Source organism: Homo sapiens, chromosome Y (genome assembly GCF_000001405.40).
Source record: "Homo sapiens chromosome Y, GRCh38.p14 Primary Assembly".
Classification (NCBI taxonomy): domain Eukaryota; kingdom Metazoa; phylum Chordata; class Mammalia; order Primates; family Hominidae; genus Homo; species Homo sapiens.
Genome location: NC_000024.10, coordinates 6,356,425 through 6,375,660, shown reverse-complemented (window position 1 = coordinate 6,375,660; position 19,236 = coordinate 6,356,425). Strand labels below are relative to the sequence as shown.

The window sequence follows — 19,236 nt, the reverse complement described above, 5'->3', positions numbered from 1 at the left end:
GGGTACCCTCACAATGAATCTCACCATTGCCTAGCGACAAGTTCCTGCAGCTTGGTGGAGATAGAGACCTCTGTGAGGGTGCATCAGCTATGGATTCTCACCTGTCTTCTCTATGGGATCCACAGGATTGTCCCCTTGTCATGGAAAAGAGCAGACATGAGCCAGCTTGAAGAAATGTCAAGCAGAGCCCCAGGAATAAACTGCAAAATTCCTAAGCATCCAAGGTCTGCAGGATTCCTTAGGCCTGTCTAGACATTGTAGGTGTGAGACTTTTTGAAACTTGCCCTACTATGGTTTCTAGGTACAGCCCACCTGTGTCCCTAGGGTTGCTCTCTCCCTGGTGTGGCATCCTGCAGAACCATACAGGATCAGGAGCTGCTGGGCCATGTGTTTCTGTGGCAGCATTGTGAATTTTGGATATGTGCGTGTGTGTGAGGCATTGTGTGTTTATGTCCTTTTGTGTGCATGTGTGTGTGTGCCTTTAAGTGGAGTCTCCTTAAAGGAATGCAGCTAATGCACTTCAGTGCTTTTTTTTCTTCTGTCTCCCCATCTTTTGGTGGCCTGCCTATGTGGCTCTGCTTAGGCTTCAGGTCTCCATGTTCTTTATTTTTATGTGGATCATGAATCTGCAGTGAATTGAGAGATGGACCTGGAATCGCTGGTGTCCAAATCAACTCCCTCTGCAAAAAGAAGCCACCGTTCTTCAGAGAAGTGGAGAACACCACACCAAAAAACAGACATCTTCCAGTGTTTCACAGTTTTGTGGCCAACACAGGGTGGCCCAACACAAGCAGTCCTGTAAACATGGCCCCTCGAATTTACCTCAAATTCGGATCCCAGCCGAGCAGGTGCTTCATGTCATGAGGAGGCACTCCTCCATCATTTTGGGATTTCATCCTGGGACATAGAGTATGAGCAGGAATAGGGTCAGATGGGGTGGTGATACACTCTGGTGAGGCATGGATGGGGTCCCACAATTTCACCTGCAAAAAATAAAATAAAATAAATAACACAGATGTCACAGTTGGTGCTTCTAAATCCATCCCTGCATTCCCTTAATCGAACAAGCAGTCCACACCATGGCTCAGTGTTCAAGTGAGAGTACTCAAAACAAAAACAAAACACTTGTTCTCTCACATCTATCAGAGGGATTCCTGTAGGATGAGAAGTAGACTGCCATGTCACGCTTTTACCTGGTAATCTATACTCTGTTTCGTTTCATCTGTACAGCCTTCTCATTTTGGAGAGGTTTTTTCATTGAACTGTTGCTGGATGAGACTTCCTCTTGCTACACATTATGTAGCTGCCAGTGATTTCAGAGAGCAAAAGGGACTATGGCCATGTAGGCTAACTGCACTTCATGTTATGAGTCGTTGTCTCGTTTCTGGGGCTTAGGTTGTTTGCACTTTGCAGGAGGGTTTTGGTTCTTCTGAGAGGAATCATTAAACATTGCTTGGACTCCAACACAAGGCTACTCTTTCTCTCAGGCAGGCATTGATTTTTCTCTGCTTTCATGGGGAATAAACAGTGCCCCTCAGCAGCAATGCAGGACACCATTTTCAGGCTTACCATCACCACACAGAGCCCCTGAGACCCGGTGTCAACCTCACCTTAGAGTTGACTTTGTCGTGGTTCCTGCCTTTCCCAGAGAGGCCCTGTGATGCCTAGGATTAAGGGAGACAGTGAGGTCAAGATCTCATCTGTCTTTCAATGACACTGACCTCTGGGGTCTCAGGTATGATTCTATCATTCAAAGAACAGTCAACAACACATCAGACTATATTCCAATCTCTTTGGGTTTCAATTCTTGCACAGAGCCTCTTTCAGGAATGGAATCAGAAGAGAAGTTTGCAGTGACCACCTCACAGTCTTGAAACACCTCCTCCTCCAATGGGACCTGACCACGGAGATGGCCCAAAGGGGTGTTGAGGTTGATACAGTCAAGGTCCTGCAGTGGGTTTTGGCAGGTAGCCTTTTTCCCGATACCAGGCTGGCTCTGCCTGTAGCGTTTTTCTCTGCTTAGGCAGGCTGACAGCTTTGACAGCCCAGTGCCTGAGCCTGCCACATGAATGTGCATGGGCTAGTCTCAGAGTAGCAGGAATCATTGTGAGATTTGGCTAGCATCACAATGAATGTCACAGTTGCCTTGTGACAAGTACCTGTGTCTTGGCAGAGAGGGAGTCTTCCATGGAGGTGCATCAGGGAAGGACTTTTGCCTATCTTCTCTGGAATTCATGTGATACTCCCATGATGCTAGAAGAGAACAGAAGTGAGGCAGTCTGAAGAAGCACGAAGCCCAGCACCAAAAATAAACCATGGAATCCCTAAGGATACAAAACTATCTTCAGGATTTGTCAGGCCTGCCTATACATTGTGGGGTGTCTTTTTGAAAGCTGCCCCTTTGTGATTTCTAGGTATAGCCTGCCTATGTTCCCCAGGGTTGCTCTCTCACAGGTGTGGCTTTCTGAAAAACCATGCAACCTCAAGAGCTGCTGGGCTGTTTCTTTCTGTGGGAATGTTGCAACTGTTAAATGTCTTTGTGTGTGTGTGACATGGTGTGTTTGTGTGTGTGTGTGCCTGTAAGTGGAGTGTGCTTAAAGAAATGAGGCTAATGCACTTGAGCCCTTCTTTTTTATGAGTCTCCCAGTTTTTCAGTGACTTGTCTGTGTGGCTCTGCTTGGACTGCGGGGCTCCATGCTTTTTTTTTTTTCTGTGGATTATGTATCTGCAGTGAATTGGAAGGCTTGCAAGATGTGGTGGTGTCCATACTATCTCTGCCTGCAAAAAAAAAAAATTCACTCTTCCAGAAAGAAGAGGAGCACACCACACCAAAAAACAGGCATCTCCCAATTTTTCATTGTGCTGAGGCCAAACTATGGATACTTGCAGTCCTGTCCAGAGGTGCCCTTGAATTGAACACCAGTTCGGTTCCCAGCTGAGCAGGTGTTTTATGTCATGAGAGTGCACTTCTCCATCGTCTTGGGATTTTATGCTGAAACATAAAGTGTGAGCAGCAATAATGTCAGATAAGGGTTAGCATAAAATCTTGTGAGGGGTGGACTTGTCCTGCAACTCCACCTGAAGATAAAATGAAGACAGATGCCACAGAAGGTGCTTCCAACTCCATACCTGCCTTCCCTGAATTGAACAAGCAGTCCACACTGTGGCTCAGCGTTCAGGTTGAAGTACTCTGATGTGCAAAAAAAATTTGCAGTGCAAATTGGGGCCATCCTGGTCTACTCCCTATTTGAGTTCTTTCATTCCTGTATCCAAAAGGGAGTGGAATTGATTGATGTTGGGTGGGCTGTGGCCTCCTCACTTGCCTCTTCTTTTTTGAATTCCGTGTTCCTCATTGGCCTAGGGTTTCCTGGGTCTGGCTTAATGACTTCCACACTAGATATTTCCCAGTTGACAAAGAACAACCCTCATGGGAATCCATTGAGTTAGTGTTTCCTTCTAAACAATGTCAGCTTTTAATGACTGGACAGTTTCATACTTTTAACACTGTAAATTCCCATTAATGTCTACCAACAGGAAAACTCTTGTTCTCCCACTTCTATAGGAGGGCTGCATGATTCCTATAGGATATGAATCAGGCAGCCGTGTCTGGCTTATGCCTGGTAATCTAACTTATCTTCCATTTTATCTGCACAGCCTTCACATTGTAAAAGAGCTCTTTCATTGGGCTATTGCTGGATGATATGGCCTCTTGCCACAAATTATTAAGCTTCCAGGGATTTCAGAGAGCAAAAGGGACTTCAGGTAGGCTGACTGTGCTCCATGTTGTGGGTTGTTGTCTCACTGTTGGGCTCAGGTTGTTTGCACTTTGCAGTAGGCTTTTGAGTCCTCTGACAGGAATCACTGAACAGTGCAGAGACTCCAGCACAGGGCACCTCATTCTTTAAGGCAAGCCTTGATTTTTCTTTGCTTTCGAGGGGAATCCACAGTGCCCCTCAATAGCACTACTGGACAGGTTTTTCAGGCTTGGCCTCACCACAGAAGGCATCTGAGACACTTTCTCACCCATATCTGCATGCATGAGAAGCCAGTCTGAGATGTGAGAACACTGCTTCGTTTTGGGCTTGCCTTTGTTCTGGCCCTGTGCAGAGATCCCCTGTAAGACCCAGGATGAAGGGAGGCAGTTAGATAAAGAGCCCAACCATCATTCACTGACACCCACCTCTGGGGTTTCAGGTATGTCTCTATCACTTAAAGAACCCTCAACAACAAACCAGACTATATTGCAATGCCCCTGGGGCCTGATTCTTGCACATAGCCTATTTCAGAAATGGAGTCAGGAGAGCAGTTTCCAGGAACCACCTCACATCACAGTCTTGAAACTCCTCCTTCTCTAGTGGGATCCCACATCAGAGAAGGCATGAAGGGGCTCTGAGGTCCAGACTTTTAGGGTACCACAGTGAGATGTTGCATGCAGCCTTTTTCCCAATACAATGCTGGCTCTGCCTATATGATTTTTCTCTGTTTAGGCAGGTTGACAGCTTTGACAGCTGGGCACCTGGTCCTGGCTCATGAATGCACAGGCACTAGTCTCAGGCATTAGGCCTGATTGTGAGCTCTGGCTTGCATTACAATGAATGTCACCATTGCCTAGAGACACATCCCTGGGCCTTGGCAGAGAAGGAGACTTTGTGGAGGTGCTGCAGCCGTTGACTGTCATCTTTCTTCCCTGTGGGATTCACAGAATAGTCCCCTGATCCTAGTAGAGGGCAGAGGTTAACCAGCCTAAAGAAATGTCAAGCAAAGACCCATGAATAAACCTGAAAATCCCTAAAAATCCAAAGGAATCTTAGGTTTCCTCAGACCTGCCTACAGGTTGTAGTAGTGAGTCATTTTGAAACTTGCCCCACTGTGATTTCTCGGTACAGCCTGCCTGTGTTCTATGGGTTTGCTCTCTCCAAGGTGCAGCTTCCTGCAGAATCATGCAGCCACAGGTGCTGCCAGACTGTGTTTCTGTAGGAGTGTTGCTATTGTTGGATGTCTGTGTGTGTCTGTGACATGGTGTGTGTGTGTGTGCACATGTATGTAATAAAGTCTGCTTAAAGGAATGTGGCTAATGCACTTCAGTGCTTCTTTTTTTTGAGTGTCCCAACCTTTTGGTGGCCTGTCTGTGTGGCTCTTCTTGAGTTGCAGGGCTCGATGTTCTTTATGTTTCTGTGCATCATGATTCTGCAGTGAATTGGGAGGCAAGCTGATATTTGCTGGAGTCCAAATCACCGACCGTTGCAAAAAAAGCCACTCTTCTAGAAAAAAGAGGAGCACACCACACCAAAATTCAGACATCTCCAGTGTTTCATTGTCCTGCAACCAACTACGGAAGAGATACTAGCAGTCCCTTTAGCATTACCCCTTGAATTTACCTCCCATTCTGTTCCCAGCTGAGCAGGTCCTTCATGTTGTGAGGGGGCTCTCTTTCATTGCCTTGGGATTTCATTCTGGGACATAAAGTGTGAGCAACAGTAAGGACAGATAGAGGTGAGGATATAATCTGGTGAAAGGTAGATGAGGTCCCAAAATTTCACCTGCAAAAAAAAAGTGAAAACAGCTGACACAGAATGTGTTTCCAACTCCATCCCCACATTCCCTAAATTGCACAAGCAGTCCACACTATTCCTGGGTGTTCATGTGGGAGTATTCCAATGTGCAAGGAACATTTGGAATGCAAATTGGGACCAGCCTGGCAAACTCCCAGTTTGAGTGTTTTCATACCCAGAAACAAATGGGAGTGGAATGAATTGATGCTGGGTGGGATGTGGCCTCCACACTTAACTCTTGTTTTCCTGAATTACATGTTTCTCTTCGGGCCTAGGGTTTCCTGCATCTGGCTCAATGACTTCCACACTAAGCATTTCCCAGTTCATGGAGAACGACACTCATTGGAATCCACTACGTGAGTATTTTCTTCTAAACAGTGTCATGTTTTAATGACTGGGCAAAACCACAAATTCCTGTTACAGTCACCAGCAAGAATACTCTTGTTCTCTCACTTCTATCCGAGAACTGCATGATTCCTGTAGGATGAGAAGCAGGTAGCTGTTTGTGGCTTGTGCCTGGTCATCTTGCCTATGTTTTATTTTATCTGCACAGCCTTTTTATTGTGGAGGGACTCTTTTATTAGGCTGTTGTTGGATGAGACTGCCTCTCATCACAGATTATTGGGTTGCCAAATATTTCAGAGAGCAAAAGGGACTTTGGGTAGGCCAACTGTGCTCCAGGTTGTGGGTTGTTGTCTTGTTATGGGGGCTGATGTTGTTTGCACTTTGCAGGAGGCTTTTGGGTCCTCTGACAGGAATCATCGAAGATTGCCTGATGCCAGCACAAGGCAGCTCATTGTCTCAGGTGAGGCTTGATTTATCTTTGCTCTCATGGGGAAGACACAGTACCCCTCAACAGCACTGTTGGACACACTTATCAGGCTTGCCATTGCCACAGATGGCCCCTGAGACAATGTTTCAACCTCATCTCCACACGCTAGTGTTCAGTCTGAGGTGGGAGAAGACTGCTCCACCTTGGACTTGCCTTAGTCTTAGTTCCTGCCCTTCCCAAAGAGCCCCTGCAAGTCCCAGGGTGAAGGGAGGCAATGACATCAAAAGCCCAGGCATCGTTCACAGACAACAACCTCTGTGGTATCAGGTATGATTCTATCACCCAAGGAACCCTCAAAAACACACCTGACTGTATTCCAATACTTATGGGACCCGATTCTGGCACACAGCCTCTTTCAGGAATGGAGTCAGAAGAGCAGTTTCCAGTGACCACCACACATTCTCAAAATGTCTCCTCCTCCAGTGGTACTCATCCATGGAGATGGCTTTGGGAGCCCTTAAGTAGAGACATTTATGGTCCTGCAGTGTGTTTTCACAGGCAGCCTTTTTCCCAATAGCATGCCGGCTCTGCCTATACCATTTTCCCCTCTTAAGGCAAGCTGACAGCTCTGACTGCCAGTCACTCAAGCCTGCCTCATGAATGTGCATGTGCTAGTCTCAGGGCAAAAGGCCTGATTATGAGCTCTGGCTAGCTTCACAATTAGTGTCACCATTGCCTAGTAACAAGTCCTTTCAGCTTGGTGAAGGACGAGACTTTTGTAGAGGTGTGTCAACCGTAGGCTCTTGCCTGTCTTTTCTGTGGGACCGCAGGATAGTCTATTGATCCCAGGAGAAGTCAGACGTGAGCTAGCCTGAAGAAACATCAAGCACAGCCTCAGAAATAAACTGAGAAATTCCTAAGGATACAAAAGGGTCTGCAGGATTACTCAGGCTTGTGTAGGCATTGTAGAAGTGAGTCTTTTTGAAACTTGCCCAACTGTGATTTTCAATTACTCCTGCCTCTGTTCCCTGGGGTTGCAATCTCCAAAGTGGGGCTTTCTGCACAACCACACAGCCTCAGGAGCAGCTGGGGTGTGTGTTTCTGTGGGAGTGTTGTGAGTATTGAATGTCTGCATGTGTGTGGCATTGTGTGTTTGTGTGTGTATGCATATGAACCTGTAAGTGAAGTCTGCTTAAAGGGATTTGGCTAACGCATTTTAGCCCTTCTTTTTTTTTGGAGTCAGCCAACTTTTGGTGGTTTCTCTGTGTGGTTCTGCTTGGGCTGCAGGGCTCAGTGTTTTTTATTCTTATGTGGATTATCAATCTGCAGTGAATTGGGAGCCAGGCTGAGACCCAACAATGTCCAAATCAACTCCCCCAGCAAATAAATAAATAAATAAATAAATAAGCCACTCTTCGAGAAAGAAAAGGAGTATACCACATGAAAAAACAGATATCTCCCAGTGTTTCATTGTCCAGTTGCCAGCCCAGGAAGAGACACTAACAGTCCTGTCCACATCGCCCCTTGAATTTACCACGAATTCAGCTCCCAGCCTAGCAGGTGCTTCATGTCACGATAAGGTGCTCCTTCATAGTCTTGGGATTTCATCCTCGTACATAAGAGTGTGAGCAGCAATAAGTTATATAAGGGTGAGGCTACAATTTGGTGAGGAGTGGTTGGAGACCCACAACTTCACCTGCAAAAAAATAAAGGCAGATGACACATAAGGTGCTTTCCACTCCATCCCCACATTCCCTTAATTACACAAGCAGTCCACACTGTGGCCTGGTGTACAGGTTGGGAGACTGCAATGTGCAAGGATCATTTGGTGTGTAAATTGGTGTTATTCTGGCAAAATCCTGATTTGGGGGCTTTCATACCCAAAGCCAAATGGGAGCAAAATGGATTGATGCTGTGGGGATGTTGCCTCCACACTTGCCTCTTCTTTTCTGGACTTCCATTTTTCTCCTTGGCCTAGGTTTTAATGGGTCTGGTTCAACAGTTTTCACACGAAACGTTTCACATTTCACAAAGAATAACCCTCATCAGAATCCGTTGCATGGATATTTACTTCTAAACACTGTCACGTTTTAATGACTAGGCAGCTTTGATAGTTTTAAAGCCATAAATTCCCATTAGAGCCTCCAACAAGGAAACTCTTGTTATCCCATGTCTATCAGATAGACGTGGATCCTCCTCCTGTAGGATGAGAAGCAGACAGCCATGTCTGGCTTTTCCTGGTAATCTAGCCTCAGTTTTATTTCATCTACATGGTTTTCTCATTTTGGAAGGGCTCTTTCATTGGGCTGCTGCTAGATGGGACTGCCTCTCACCACAGATTATGTAGCTGACAGGATTTCAGAGAGCCCAGAGAGCCAAGGGACCTCAGGAAAGCTGGCTGAGCTCCAGGTGGTGGGTCATTGTCTCGTTTTGGGGCCTGAGGTTGTTTGCACTTTGCAGAAGGGATTTGGGTCCTCTGACAGGAATCACTGAACATTGTTTGGACCCCAGGACAAAGCAGCTCATTCTCTCAGTGAGCCTTGATTTATCTTTGCTTTCATGAGGAATCTACAGTGGCTCTTGATGGTACTGCTGGACACCCTTTTCAGGATTGCTATCACCACAGACGGCCTTTGAGACACTGACTCAACATCATCTGCAACTGTGAGAAGCCAATCAGAGGTGTGAGAACACAGCTCCACCTTGGTCTTGCCGTTGTCATGGTTACTGCCTTTCCCTGAGAGCCTCTGTGAGGCCCAGGATGAAGAGAGACAGTGTGGTAAAGAGAACAACCATCTTTCACTGACGCCAGCCTCTGGGGTCTCAGGTATGATCCTATCACCCAAAGAACCCTAAAAAACACACCAGGCTATATTCCAAATCCCATGGGACTTGATTCTTGCACACAGCCTCTTTTGGGAATATAATTAGAGTAGAAGTTTCCAGCAACAAACTCACAGTCTTAAAATGCCTCCTTCTCCAGCAGGAAGCAATCACAGATGGCACAAAAGGGGTCCTGGGAAGTTGAGACTTTTAAGGTCCCACAGTAGGTTTCACAGGTAGCCTTTTTTTTCTGGTACTGGGCTTGCTCTGCCTATACCATTTTCCTCTGCCTAGGCAGGCTGACAGCTCTGACAGCTGGACACTTTAGTCTTCCTCACAAATGAGTACGCCCTAGTCCTAGGGCATGAGGCCTGATTGTGAGCTCTGGCTAGTATCACAATGAATGCACTACTGCCTAGAGACAAGCCTCCAAGGCTTGGCTGAGAAGGAGAACTCCTTGGAGGTTGTGTCAGCAGTGGACTCTTGCCTGTCTTCTCTGTGGGGTCCATAGTATGATCCCATGATCCTAGGAGAGGGCAGACGTGTGCCTACCTTAAGAAACCTCAAGCAGAGCCCAAGGAATAAACCGCGAAATACCTAAAAATCCAAAGGACCTGCAGGATTTTTCATGCTTGCCTAGATGTTGTAGGGTTGAGTCTGGAACGCAACCCAACTGTGCTCTCCAGGGTTGCTCTCTCACAGATGGTGCTTCCTACAGAACCTCAGAGCCTCAGAAGCTGCCGGGCTGTGTGTTTCTTTGGGAGTGTTGTGAGTGTTGTATGTCTGTGTGTGTGTTTGGCATTGTGTGTGTGTGTGTGTGTGTGTGTGAGTGCACTTGTAAATGGAGGTTGCTTAAAGGAATGTGGCTAATGCACATAAGTGCTTCTTTTTGTTTGTTTGTTTTTGCTCTCTTAACCTTTTGATAGCCTGTCCGTGCATCTGCTTGGGCTGTGGGGCTCTGTGTTCTTTATTTTTTTGTGGATTATGAATACATAGTAAATTGAGAGGCTGGCTAAGACCTGCCAGAAACCAAATCAACTTCCCTCTATAAAAACAGCCACTCTTCTCGAAAGAAGAGGAGCACATCACACCTAAAAGCAGACATCTCCCAGTGTTTCATTGTAATGAGGCCAATCCGGGGATAGACACTAGCAGTCCTATCTGCAGTGCCAATTGAATTTACCTTGAATTCCATTCCCAGCTGAGCAGGTGCTACAGGTCTTGAGCGGGTATTCCTCCATCATCTTGGGATTTCATTCTCAGACAGAGTGTGAGCAGAAATAAGATCAGATTGGGATGAGGATGCAATCTTCTGAGGGGTGAATGAGGACCCACACCTTCATCTGCAAAACACATGAAGACAGTTGACAGAGAATTTGCTTCCAACAGCATACCCACATTCCTTTAACTGTACAACTAGTCCACAACATGGCCCAGTATTCAGGTGGGAGTATTCAAATGCAAAGGGAACATTTGGAATGCAAACTGGGCCATGCTGGCAAACCCCTGATTTTATGGCTTTCATACCCAGAGCCAAATAGGAGTGGGATGGGTTGATGCTTGGTGGCAGGTGGACTCCATACTTCCCTTTTCTTTTTCTGACTTCCATGTTTCTCATCATCCTAGGGTATCCTGGGTCTGCCTCAACGTCTTCCATACTTAAAATTTTTCAGTTAATTGCAAACAACCCTCATGGGAATCCATTGCAAGAGTGATTCCTTCTAAACACTGTCATGTTTTAATGACTGGGCAGCTGTGATACTTTTAAAACCATAAATTCCCATTACTTCAGTCAACAAGGAAACTTGTTCACCCAGTTACATTGGAGGGCTGCATAATTCCTATAGGATGAGAAACAGGCAGCCCCACTGGCTTTTGAGTGGGAGTCTAGAATATATTTTATTGCATCTGCACATCCTTTCTCACTGTGTGTGACATTCATTGGGTTGTTGCTGGATGAGACTGCCTCTCACCGCAGATCTTTTCACTGCCAAAGATTTCAAGGAGCAAAAGGGATTTTGAGTAGGCTGGCAGCACTCCAGGTTGTGGGTCAGGTCTGTTTTTGGAGGCTGGGTTTTTTGCAAATTGGAGAAGGCTTTTTGTGTGCTGACAGGAATCTTTGAATGTTGCTTTGACTCCAACACAAGGCAGCTCATTCTAGCAGTTGAGCCTTGATTTATCTTTATTCTCATGGAGAATCCACAGTGCCTCTCAATAGCACTACTGGACAGCCTTTTCAGGCTTGTAATCACCACAGTTGGCCTTGAAGACACTGTCTGAACCTCTTCTGCACCTGTGAGAAGAGAGTCCGAGGTGTAAGAACACTGCTTCATCTTGGACTTGCTGTGTTGTGGTTCCTACCTTTCTGAGACAGGACTGCAAGGGCCAAAATGAAGGGAAGCATCAAGGTCGAAGGCATGACCATCTTTTCCTAACACCCACCTCTGGAATCTCAGGTATGATTCCATCATCCAAAGACCCCTCAACCTCTGATCAGACTATATTCCAATCCCCATGGGCAAAGATTCTTTGACACAGCCTCTTTCAGGAATGGAGTCTGAATATCGTTTCCATGGACCACCTCACAGTCTCAAAACACTGCCTTGTTCAGTGGGACCTGACCACAAAGACTGCCTGAAGGTGCGGTAATGCTGAGACTTTTAGAGTTTTGCAGAGTTTATCAGAGGCATCATTTTTTTTGACATCAGGCCACTACTGCCTATAATATTTTCCTCTGTTTAGGAAGGCTGACAGCTCTGACAACAGGACACCAGAGCCTGCCTCACCAATGCAATGCACTAGTCTCAGGGCACCAGGCCTGAGCTGTGAGCTCTGGCTAGCATCACAATGAATGCCACCATTGCCTAGCGACAAGTCCCTGCCATAAGGTAGAGAAGTAGCCCTTCGTGGAGGTGCACAGACCATGGATTCTTGCCTTCTTCTGTGTGGGGTCCACAGGATATTCCCATAGTTCTAGGAGAGGACAGACATTAGCCTGCCTAAAGAAACATCAAGCAGAGCCCCAGGAATAAACTGTGGAATTCCTAACGATTCAAAAAGATTTGCAGGATGCATCAGACCTGCCTAGACATTGTAAGGGTGAGTCTTTTTGAAATTTGCCCCACTGTGATTTCTAGGTACAGCCCATTTGTGTTGCCCGGAGTTGCTATCTCCCAGATGGGGCTTCGTGCAGAGCCACGCAGCCTCAGAAGCTGCCAGGATGTGTGTTTCTATGAAAGTAATGTGAATGTTGAATGTCTGTGTATGTGTGTGGCTTTGTGTGTGTGTGTGTGTGTGTGTGTGTGTGTGTGTGCACCTATAAGTAGAATCTGCTTAAAGCAATGTGGCTAATGCACTGCAGCACTTTTTTTTTTTTCAGTCTTCCAACATTTTGTTGGCCTGTCTGTGGCTCTGCTTGGGCTGCTGTCCATCCTTTTCTTTATCATTTTGTGGAGTTTGAATCTGCAGTGAATTGGGATGCTGGCTCAGACCTGCCGGAATCCAAATTACTCTCATCTGTAAAACAGCCACTCTTCTAGAAAGAAGAGAAGCACACCACAAACACAAAGAGACATCTTCCAGTGTTTCATTGTCCTGGGGCCAACCCATAGAGAGACACTAATAGTCATGTCCACCTTCAATTTACTTCGAATTCATTTCCCAGCCTAGCAGGTGCTTCAGGTCATGAGGGGTTACTCTTTCATCATCTTGTGGTTTCATTTTGGGATAGAGAATGTGAACAACAACAAGGTTAAATAGGGGTTGGGATACAATCTGATGAGGGGTGGAAAGAGACCCACACATTCACCTGCAAAAAATGTGAAGATAGTTGACACAAAAGTTGCTTCCAACAGCACCACAGCATTTCTTTCATTTCTCAAGCAGTTTACAACATGGCACAGTGTTCATGTGGGAGTTCTCCAATATGTAGGGAACATTTCAGATGCAAAATTGGGCCATCCTGGCAAACTCCCAAGTTGAGGGATTTCATACCCATAGTCAAATGGGAGTTGGATGGACTGATGCTGGGTGGGATGTGGCCTCCACACTTCCCTCTTCTTTTCATGATTTTGGTGTTCCTTGTCAGCCTAGGGTTTTCTGGGTGTGGCTCACCATTTTCCATACTAAACGTTTTCTGCTCCATGAAGAACGACCTACGTGGGAATCCATTGTGTGATTGTTTCCTTCAAAATACTGTCAAGTTTTAAAGACTGGGCAGCTTTGATAGTTTTAAAACTATAAATTCCAGCTATAGCTGCTAACAAGGAAACTCTTGTTCTCCCACTTTTATTGGATGGCTGCATGATTCCTGTGGGATGAGAAAGAGGCAACCATGTCTGGCTTTTGCCTGGTAATCCAGCCTCTGTTTCATTTCATCTGCACAACCTTCTCATTGTGGAAGGGTTCTTTCATCGGGCTGTTGGTGGATGGGACTGCCTCTCATCACAATTATTTAGCTGCCCTGAAATACATACTTTAGTAAACAATTTAGCACTTGTAATTTTTCAACTTTGTTTTCAGCGGAAGTTAATGATGTATGGCATTTCTAGTAGGTAAATGAATGTCTGAATTGTTGTGAGTTACTTTAGTCACTTCTCAGCTAACAATTTAAGTTATCAAAGGTCTTTACTTGTGCAATATCATAAATGATGGATATTAAAAATTAATAGAATGGATCTAACTAAAAGCTGCCATCTAACGTGATATTTTTCAGGAAGATGACAGCAGTAATTATGCCAAAAAATAGTCATTCTCTTAGTTTGACCCATAATAGCAATTTCCAACCAAAGATTCCACAGGCAGGGTCCAGATCTGGGCAACAGTTATTAACATAATGGTTATTGTTGAGAATAAATTTTGATACGTCTAGCTGTGCTTGAATGTCAGTGCTTTGAAGGGACAGGTTTGGCGTATTAATAAGAAAGGGTGCATTGGACTGAATACTAATAAATGAATTGTTTTTCTTATCTTCTATAACATGAAAGTTCAATTTGAGATATAGAAACACTGGAACATTTCACAGCATGGCCTGACATTTCACTGCGTTTTTATTTTTTAACGATGTACAAAGTTCATTAAATACACAAAGGTAGGACTGCTACAGGAAGAAAGTGGTGGAGTCAGAGGTCACAATCCAAAGCAAGGTGACAGTCTCTTGACGAAGACACCCTGAGTGCTGAATTAAGGTGAGAATCAACTTTCAGCTGTTAACAGGGGACAGGGAGAATGAAGTTATCAGCAGTTAACATTATTGGATTAATTGAAATGAATGTTGACAGAGATTTTATTGGCTTTACATCAAATGGAGTATAGTACTTCAAATTGCGTATTTGATGAGGGTAAACTCTTATCAATTTGCCACATGTAAAATTGAGAATTAATTAAGAGATTACACAACCCATACATTATGGGTATCTCATATAAATTTAAATACACATGTGCAAACTTGCAGTGTGCAAATATTTGTCTATACCTAAATATATCCAAATCCATTGATGAACAGTTAGAAATTTAGAAATTATTCTCCCATTTTATCATTCCCTTTCCTAGAATTTGGTCACAAATATAATTTTTCCATCTCTTTGAATCCTACTCTCTGGAGGTATGTAATGTATGGACACAGTAAAGCCTTGAGATATCACAGGGTTTGTATCAGAGAAAATAATAACACTGGTGTTACAAAAGATCCACTGTGAGGAGAAAGATATATTTAACATGATTACAAATACAGAAGTATTATTTCATCAAAAGCTGATATCAGTGAATACAATTTGTTTTTAATGTTTTATTTAAAATATTTAATATCAGAAGAATTTCTTGAGTAGAATAATGATATTGGTAAGAAATAATGATTCAGAATTTCCTTTAATTTGTTGATTATTTAAAATGTAAGTGAAATACTAAAAAGTACTGTATAATGTAGTTTCATGAAGCATTCTCTATGGTTTTATAAAATTAATAGTCAATGAAATTTTTTGACACAGAAATTTCCTTATATAATTTATTATTTATTATTGTACTTTCACTTTATTACTTGCATGTCATAACTGATAGAAATAAAAATATTTTCATTTACACATATACAAAACATCGATTTTTGTTTATGTTCTCTAGTGAGAGAAAGTCACCAATAATTTTATCTATGTAGGAAAATTTTGACAAGCCGAAAGTTCTTAACATTCTTTTCTTTTGAAGTTTCATATTTCAGTCTAGGTATGAGATCAAATTGACTGTGATTATTTTTTGATTTCACTATGACTACTGAGTTTCTGATATTGTGCTTTATATATATATATAGTGTTATATATATAGTGTTTTTATATATAGTGTGTGTTTATATATATATATATATATATACAGTGACACTCTCCTTAACCCAGATGGACTCCTTGTCCTCACTACATGGTCATGGCTCAAAGTATTACTCCTGGTGCCCCAGCCACTGTTTCCAGGTGCAGAGATTGACCAGCATACCCCTGAGTCCTTGTCCTCCAGTCCAAGTAATATCCATAGAAATAATAAAAGGGTGGCATATTAGTCTTCATGACATTTTTAAGGCTGACCTGTTTATAAGCATTTCATGCAGATATTTATGACTTTACCTCATTTATTTAACTTATTTATAGTGCTAATTTCAAAATCAATTTTTGCTTGAGAGTTATTTCAACATACAACCAAATGTTCAGAGCTATGACACAGGTTTCAAGCTTAAAAGTCTGTATCTGATATTACATTGGGTAAAACCCATCCAACACTTATAAAAATAAGTAATTATTAGGCATGGCCACTGTAATGATCTAAAACACACTTTGAAATTCTTTGCAAACCAATTTGAAAATATTCCTGATGTGACAGAACACAGTACTTGCTTCTAATTAATAGAAAACAGTGAAAGCATTTTCTGGATATTGGGCCACCTCTGGCCTAGGCTAGAAAAGGTGACACAGCTCTGCCTAAGTCTCCTGCTGTCATGGGGACAAACCCCTCAGGAGCCCCAGACCAGTACATCATGAAGTCTAACACCCTGATAACACTATGCAGAATGGACATCCCATGGAGAGACTCATAGAAATAAAAGGAGATGCCTGAGGATCTCAGCAGCCCAACCTCCACTATTTGAGTTATGCTAGCCATGGCACCAGGGAAATAAGAAGACACCTGGCAATGTCCCCATCCTGAGCCATCACTAGATTGTATCCTCCTGAGTGCCCCTGAACCACAATCATTTGGCTGAGAGACTGTGGAAGATTTTAGAGACTGAGAGTTAATAAATTATAATTATTGTTTGAAGCCACTAACTTTCTGATAATTTTGAAAAGCACTTTAGACTCCTAGAAAAACTGAGTTGTCTACTGATTTGAGTAATTTTAGAGAGCTTTAAAGGCCAACTTCATGAATGCTAATACCTTGGAAAAGTCAAACAATCAAGACTATTCTAAACACAACAGATATTTAATTTCCCTTTGCTATGGCTGGAGAATAATCTAACATGTATCTGACAGAGTACTTTGAAAGACTCTGTTCACATCTCTTTTCTGGGTATGTGCCAACTCTGGTCTGCTTTAATTTTAGTCAACTGCAGCAACTCATATATCATTTTAGGTCCTGGCCTACACTGATCTTTAATCACTGACTGTGTCTGTGTCTGTGTCTGTATGTATTGTGTGTTATCATATTTTATCCAAAGGGGCTAAATAACAGTGCTATAGTGGTTTCATAATCATAAAGCATTCCAGGAACACAATATTGCTTATCAACTGAGCTTTAAAACAGATATGAGGCAGGACATGGTGGCTCACACCTGCACTCCCAGCAATTTGGCAAGCCAAGGTGGGTGGATCTCTTGATGTCAGGAGTTTGTGATAAGCCTGGCCAACATGGCAAGATCCCATGTCTAATATCATAGCAAAGCTAGCCAGGCTTGGTGTCCCATGAATATAATCTCATCTATGTGGGAGGCTGATGCAGGAGAATCCACTGAAACGCTGAGACAGAGTTTGCGGTGAAGTAAGATGACACCACTGCACTCCATCCTGGGCACCAGAGCCAAGACACTGTCTCAGAAATAAAAATGAAATAAAATAATAAAATAGACAGGAGAGATCACTGAGAAAAGAAACACATAAAACTGGGTGGGCATTGTGGCTTATGACTGAAATCCCAGCATTTTAAGAGGCTAAGGTGGGTGGATGGCTTGAGGAAAGGAGCTTGAGACCAGCCTGAGCAAATATTGTGAAACCTGGTCTTTACTAAAAGTGCAGAAAAAAAAAAAAAAGCTAAGATTGTTGTCACATGCCTGCAGTCATAGCTACTCGGGAGGGTGTGACTGGAGAACTGCTGGAACCCAGGATGGGAAGGTTGCAGTGAGCTGAGATCATGCCACTGCACTCCAGCCTAGGCAACAGAGCAGGATTCCATCTAAAAATATTAAACAGAGATACAGAGATAGAGGAAAGGAAGAAAGAAAGAAAGAAAGAAAGAAAGAAAGAAAGAAAGAAAGAAAGAAAGAAGATAGAAAGAAAGAAAGAAAGAAAGAAAGAAAGAAAGAAAGAAAGAAAGAAAGAAGGAAAGAAAGAAGGAAAGAAGGAAAGAAAGACAGGGAGAAGGGAGGGAGGGAAGAAGGGAGGGAGAAAAAGAGAATGAAAGGCATGAAACCAAAAGGAAATGAATAAAAATAAAAACATGATTTTACTCATTATCCACATGAATTTTGAACTATGTTTACATTAATATTTTATGTTTAAAATAATATTAATAATATTTAGGTCTCTGGTGGACTAACAGAAATGTTAAAATAAGCTGGTGTATATTTGACAATACTCAAGTAACTATGAGTATTGTCAAAATTACTCATGTAACTAAGCTTCTTGGAAGAGCTGAAACCTAGTTTCCAACAACCAAACACAATTGACATTTGTCATCAAATTGCACACTATTAGGGGCAGGGTAGTCTGTATTATGCTGCCTAGTCCATATTAAATTAAAAGTGCAATCAAATCTGCAAAAGATTTTCCATTTACTATTACCAGTAATGATTGTTTTGTTTCCTGACTTGTGGAGAGTTTTATTCCCATAGCTTTGATGGCTCTGGCAGAAAGCCTTCCTGTTCCAAACTCACCACTTATCACCATAGTACCCGCGTTCAGGCATTAAGAAGAAAAGAGCATCCAATCCCTCTGCTTTCCTGCATCGGCTCCCATGCACAAGCAAATGTGTTGTGTTAGTGGCTATCAAATATTCATGTATTTGATCAAGGAAATTTGTATTTCCAAATGGTAAAACAAAAATACTACTATCAGTTGTATTTTTATTATTTATTTACTTAGAGTGAGGGTCTTGCTCTGTCAACAGTCTGAATTATACATCACTGTAGTCTAACACTTTTGGGCTCAGAGGATCCTCCAACATCAACTTCCTAAAGTACTGAAATTATAGACTTTAGCCATTGTACCCAGCCTCAAGTTTAGAGATAAAGACTAACGAAGATATTGTAAAGCATGTAAATAAACATAATTGCAGGTTATCTACAGAGCTGTAAGAAACCACTGAAAAACTGCCATTGTGGACAAGGCTCCTGGCAAAAATGTAATGCAAACAAAGGAATGGGTCCTTCCCAATGAGCCTTCAGATAATACCAGAGACCAGCATGGCATTTCCATTGCTGCTTTTTGACAGAACATGAAACCTAGTTGTGTGCGTTTTGTGTGTGTGTATAAGCATACATTCACAACCAGTTGAACAATCTAGGATCACCCACACAGTGGAATATGATGCAGCTCTTTGTATATATGGTAGAATGCATCCTGAATCTGTCAGTTTCTTGGCTTTTTTTTTTTTGGCTGGTAGGTTATTTATTAGTAATGATTCAATTTCAGAAATTGAAATTGGACAGGCTGGAGCTGAGACCGGGTTCACTTTGATTCTGTTGTGGAACAGAGAATGGCATGGCTGTAATTTTGGCTGTGATGATTACTGGAAGGTCTCTGCACAAATGGGCTAGTTTTCTGCCTGCAGCAGGAGGCTCTGGGGCTGAAAATCAGCTCCCTTGACATTGCTGTTGAACAGATCATTTAGAACCTGGTCTGGGCT

At 43.1% G+C, this 19,236-nt stretch overlaps 2 long non-coding RNA genes across 2 annotated transcripts; both read left to right on the top strand.

Annotated features, from left to right (window-relative positions):
- The first annotated feature begins 5,739 nt into the window (after positions 1–5,739).
- On the top strand, positions 5,740–9,151 carry LOC107987353 (uncharacterized). The gene is made up of 3 exons (XR_001756087.3): positions 5,740–5,908; positions 6,285–6,357; positions 8,889–9,151. It is a non-coding gene; the product is annotated as an uncharacterized LOC107987353 (long non-coding RNA).
- Positions 9,152–14,247: 5,096 nt separating this feature from the next.
- On the top strand, positions 14,248–18,442 carry LINC00280 (long intergenic non-protein coding RNA 280). The gene is made up of 3 exons (NR_046505.1): positions 14,248–14,333; positions 16,835–16,977; positions 18,224–18,442. It is a non-coding gene; the product is annotated as a long intergenic non-protein coding RNA 280 (long non-coding RNA).
- The last annotated feature ends 794 nt before the right edge of the window (positions 18,443–19,236 follow it).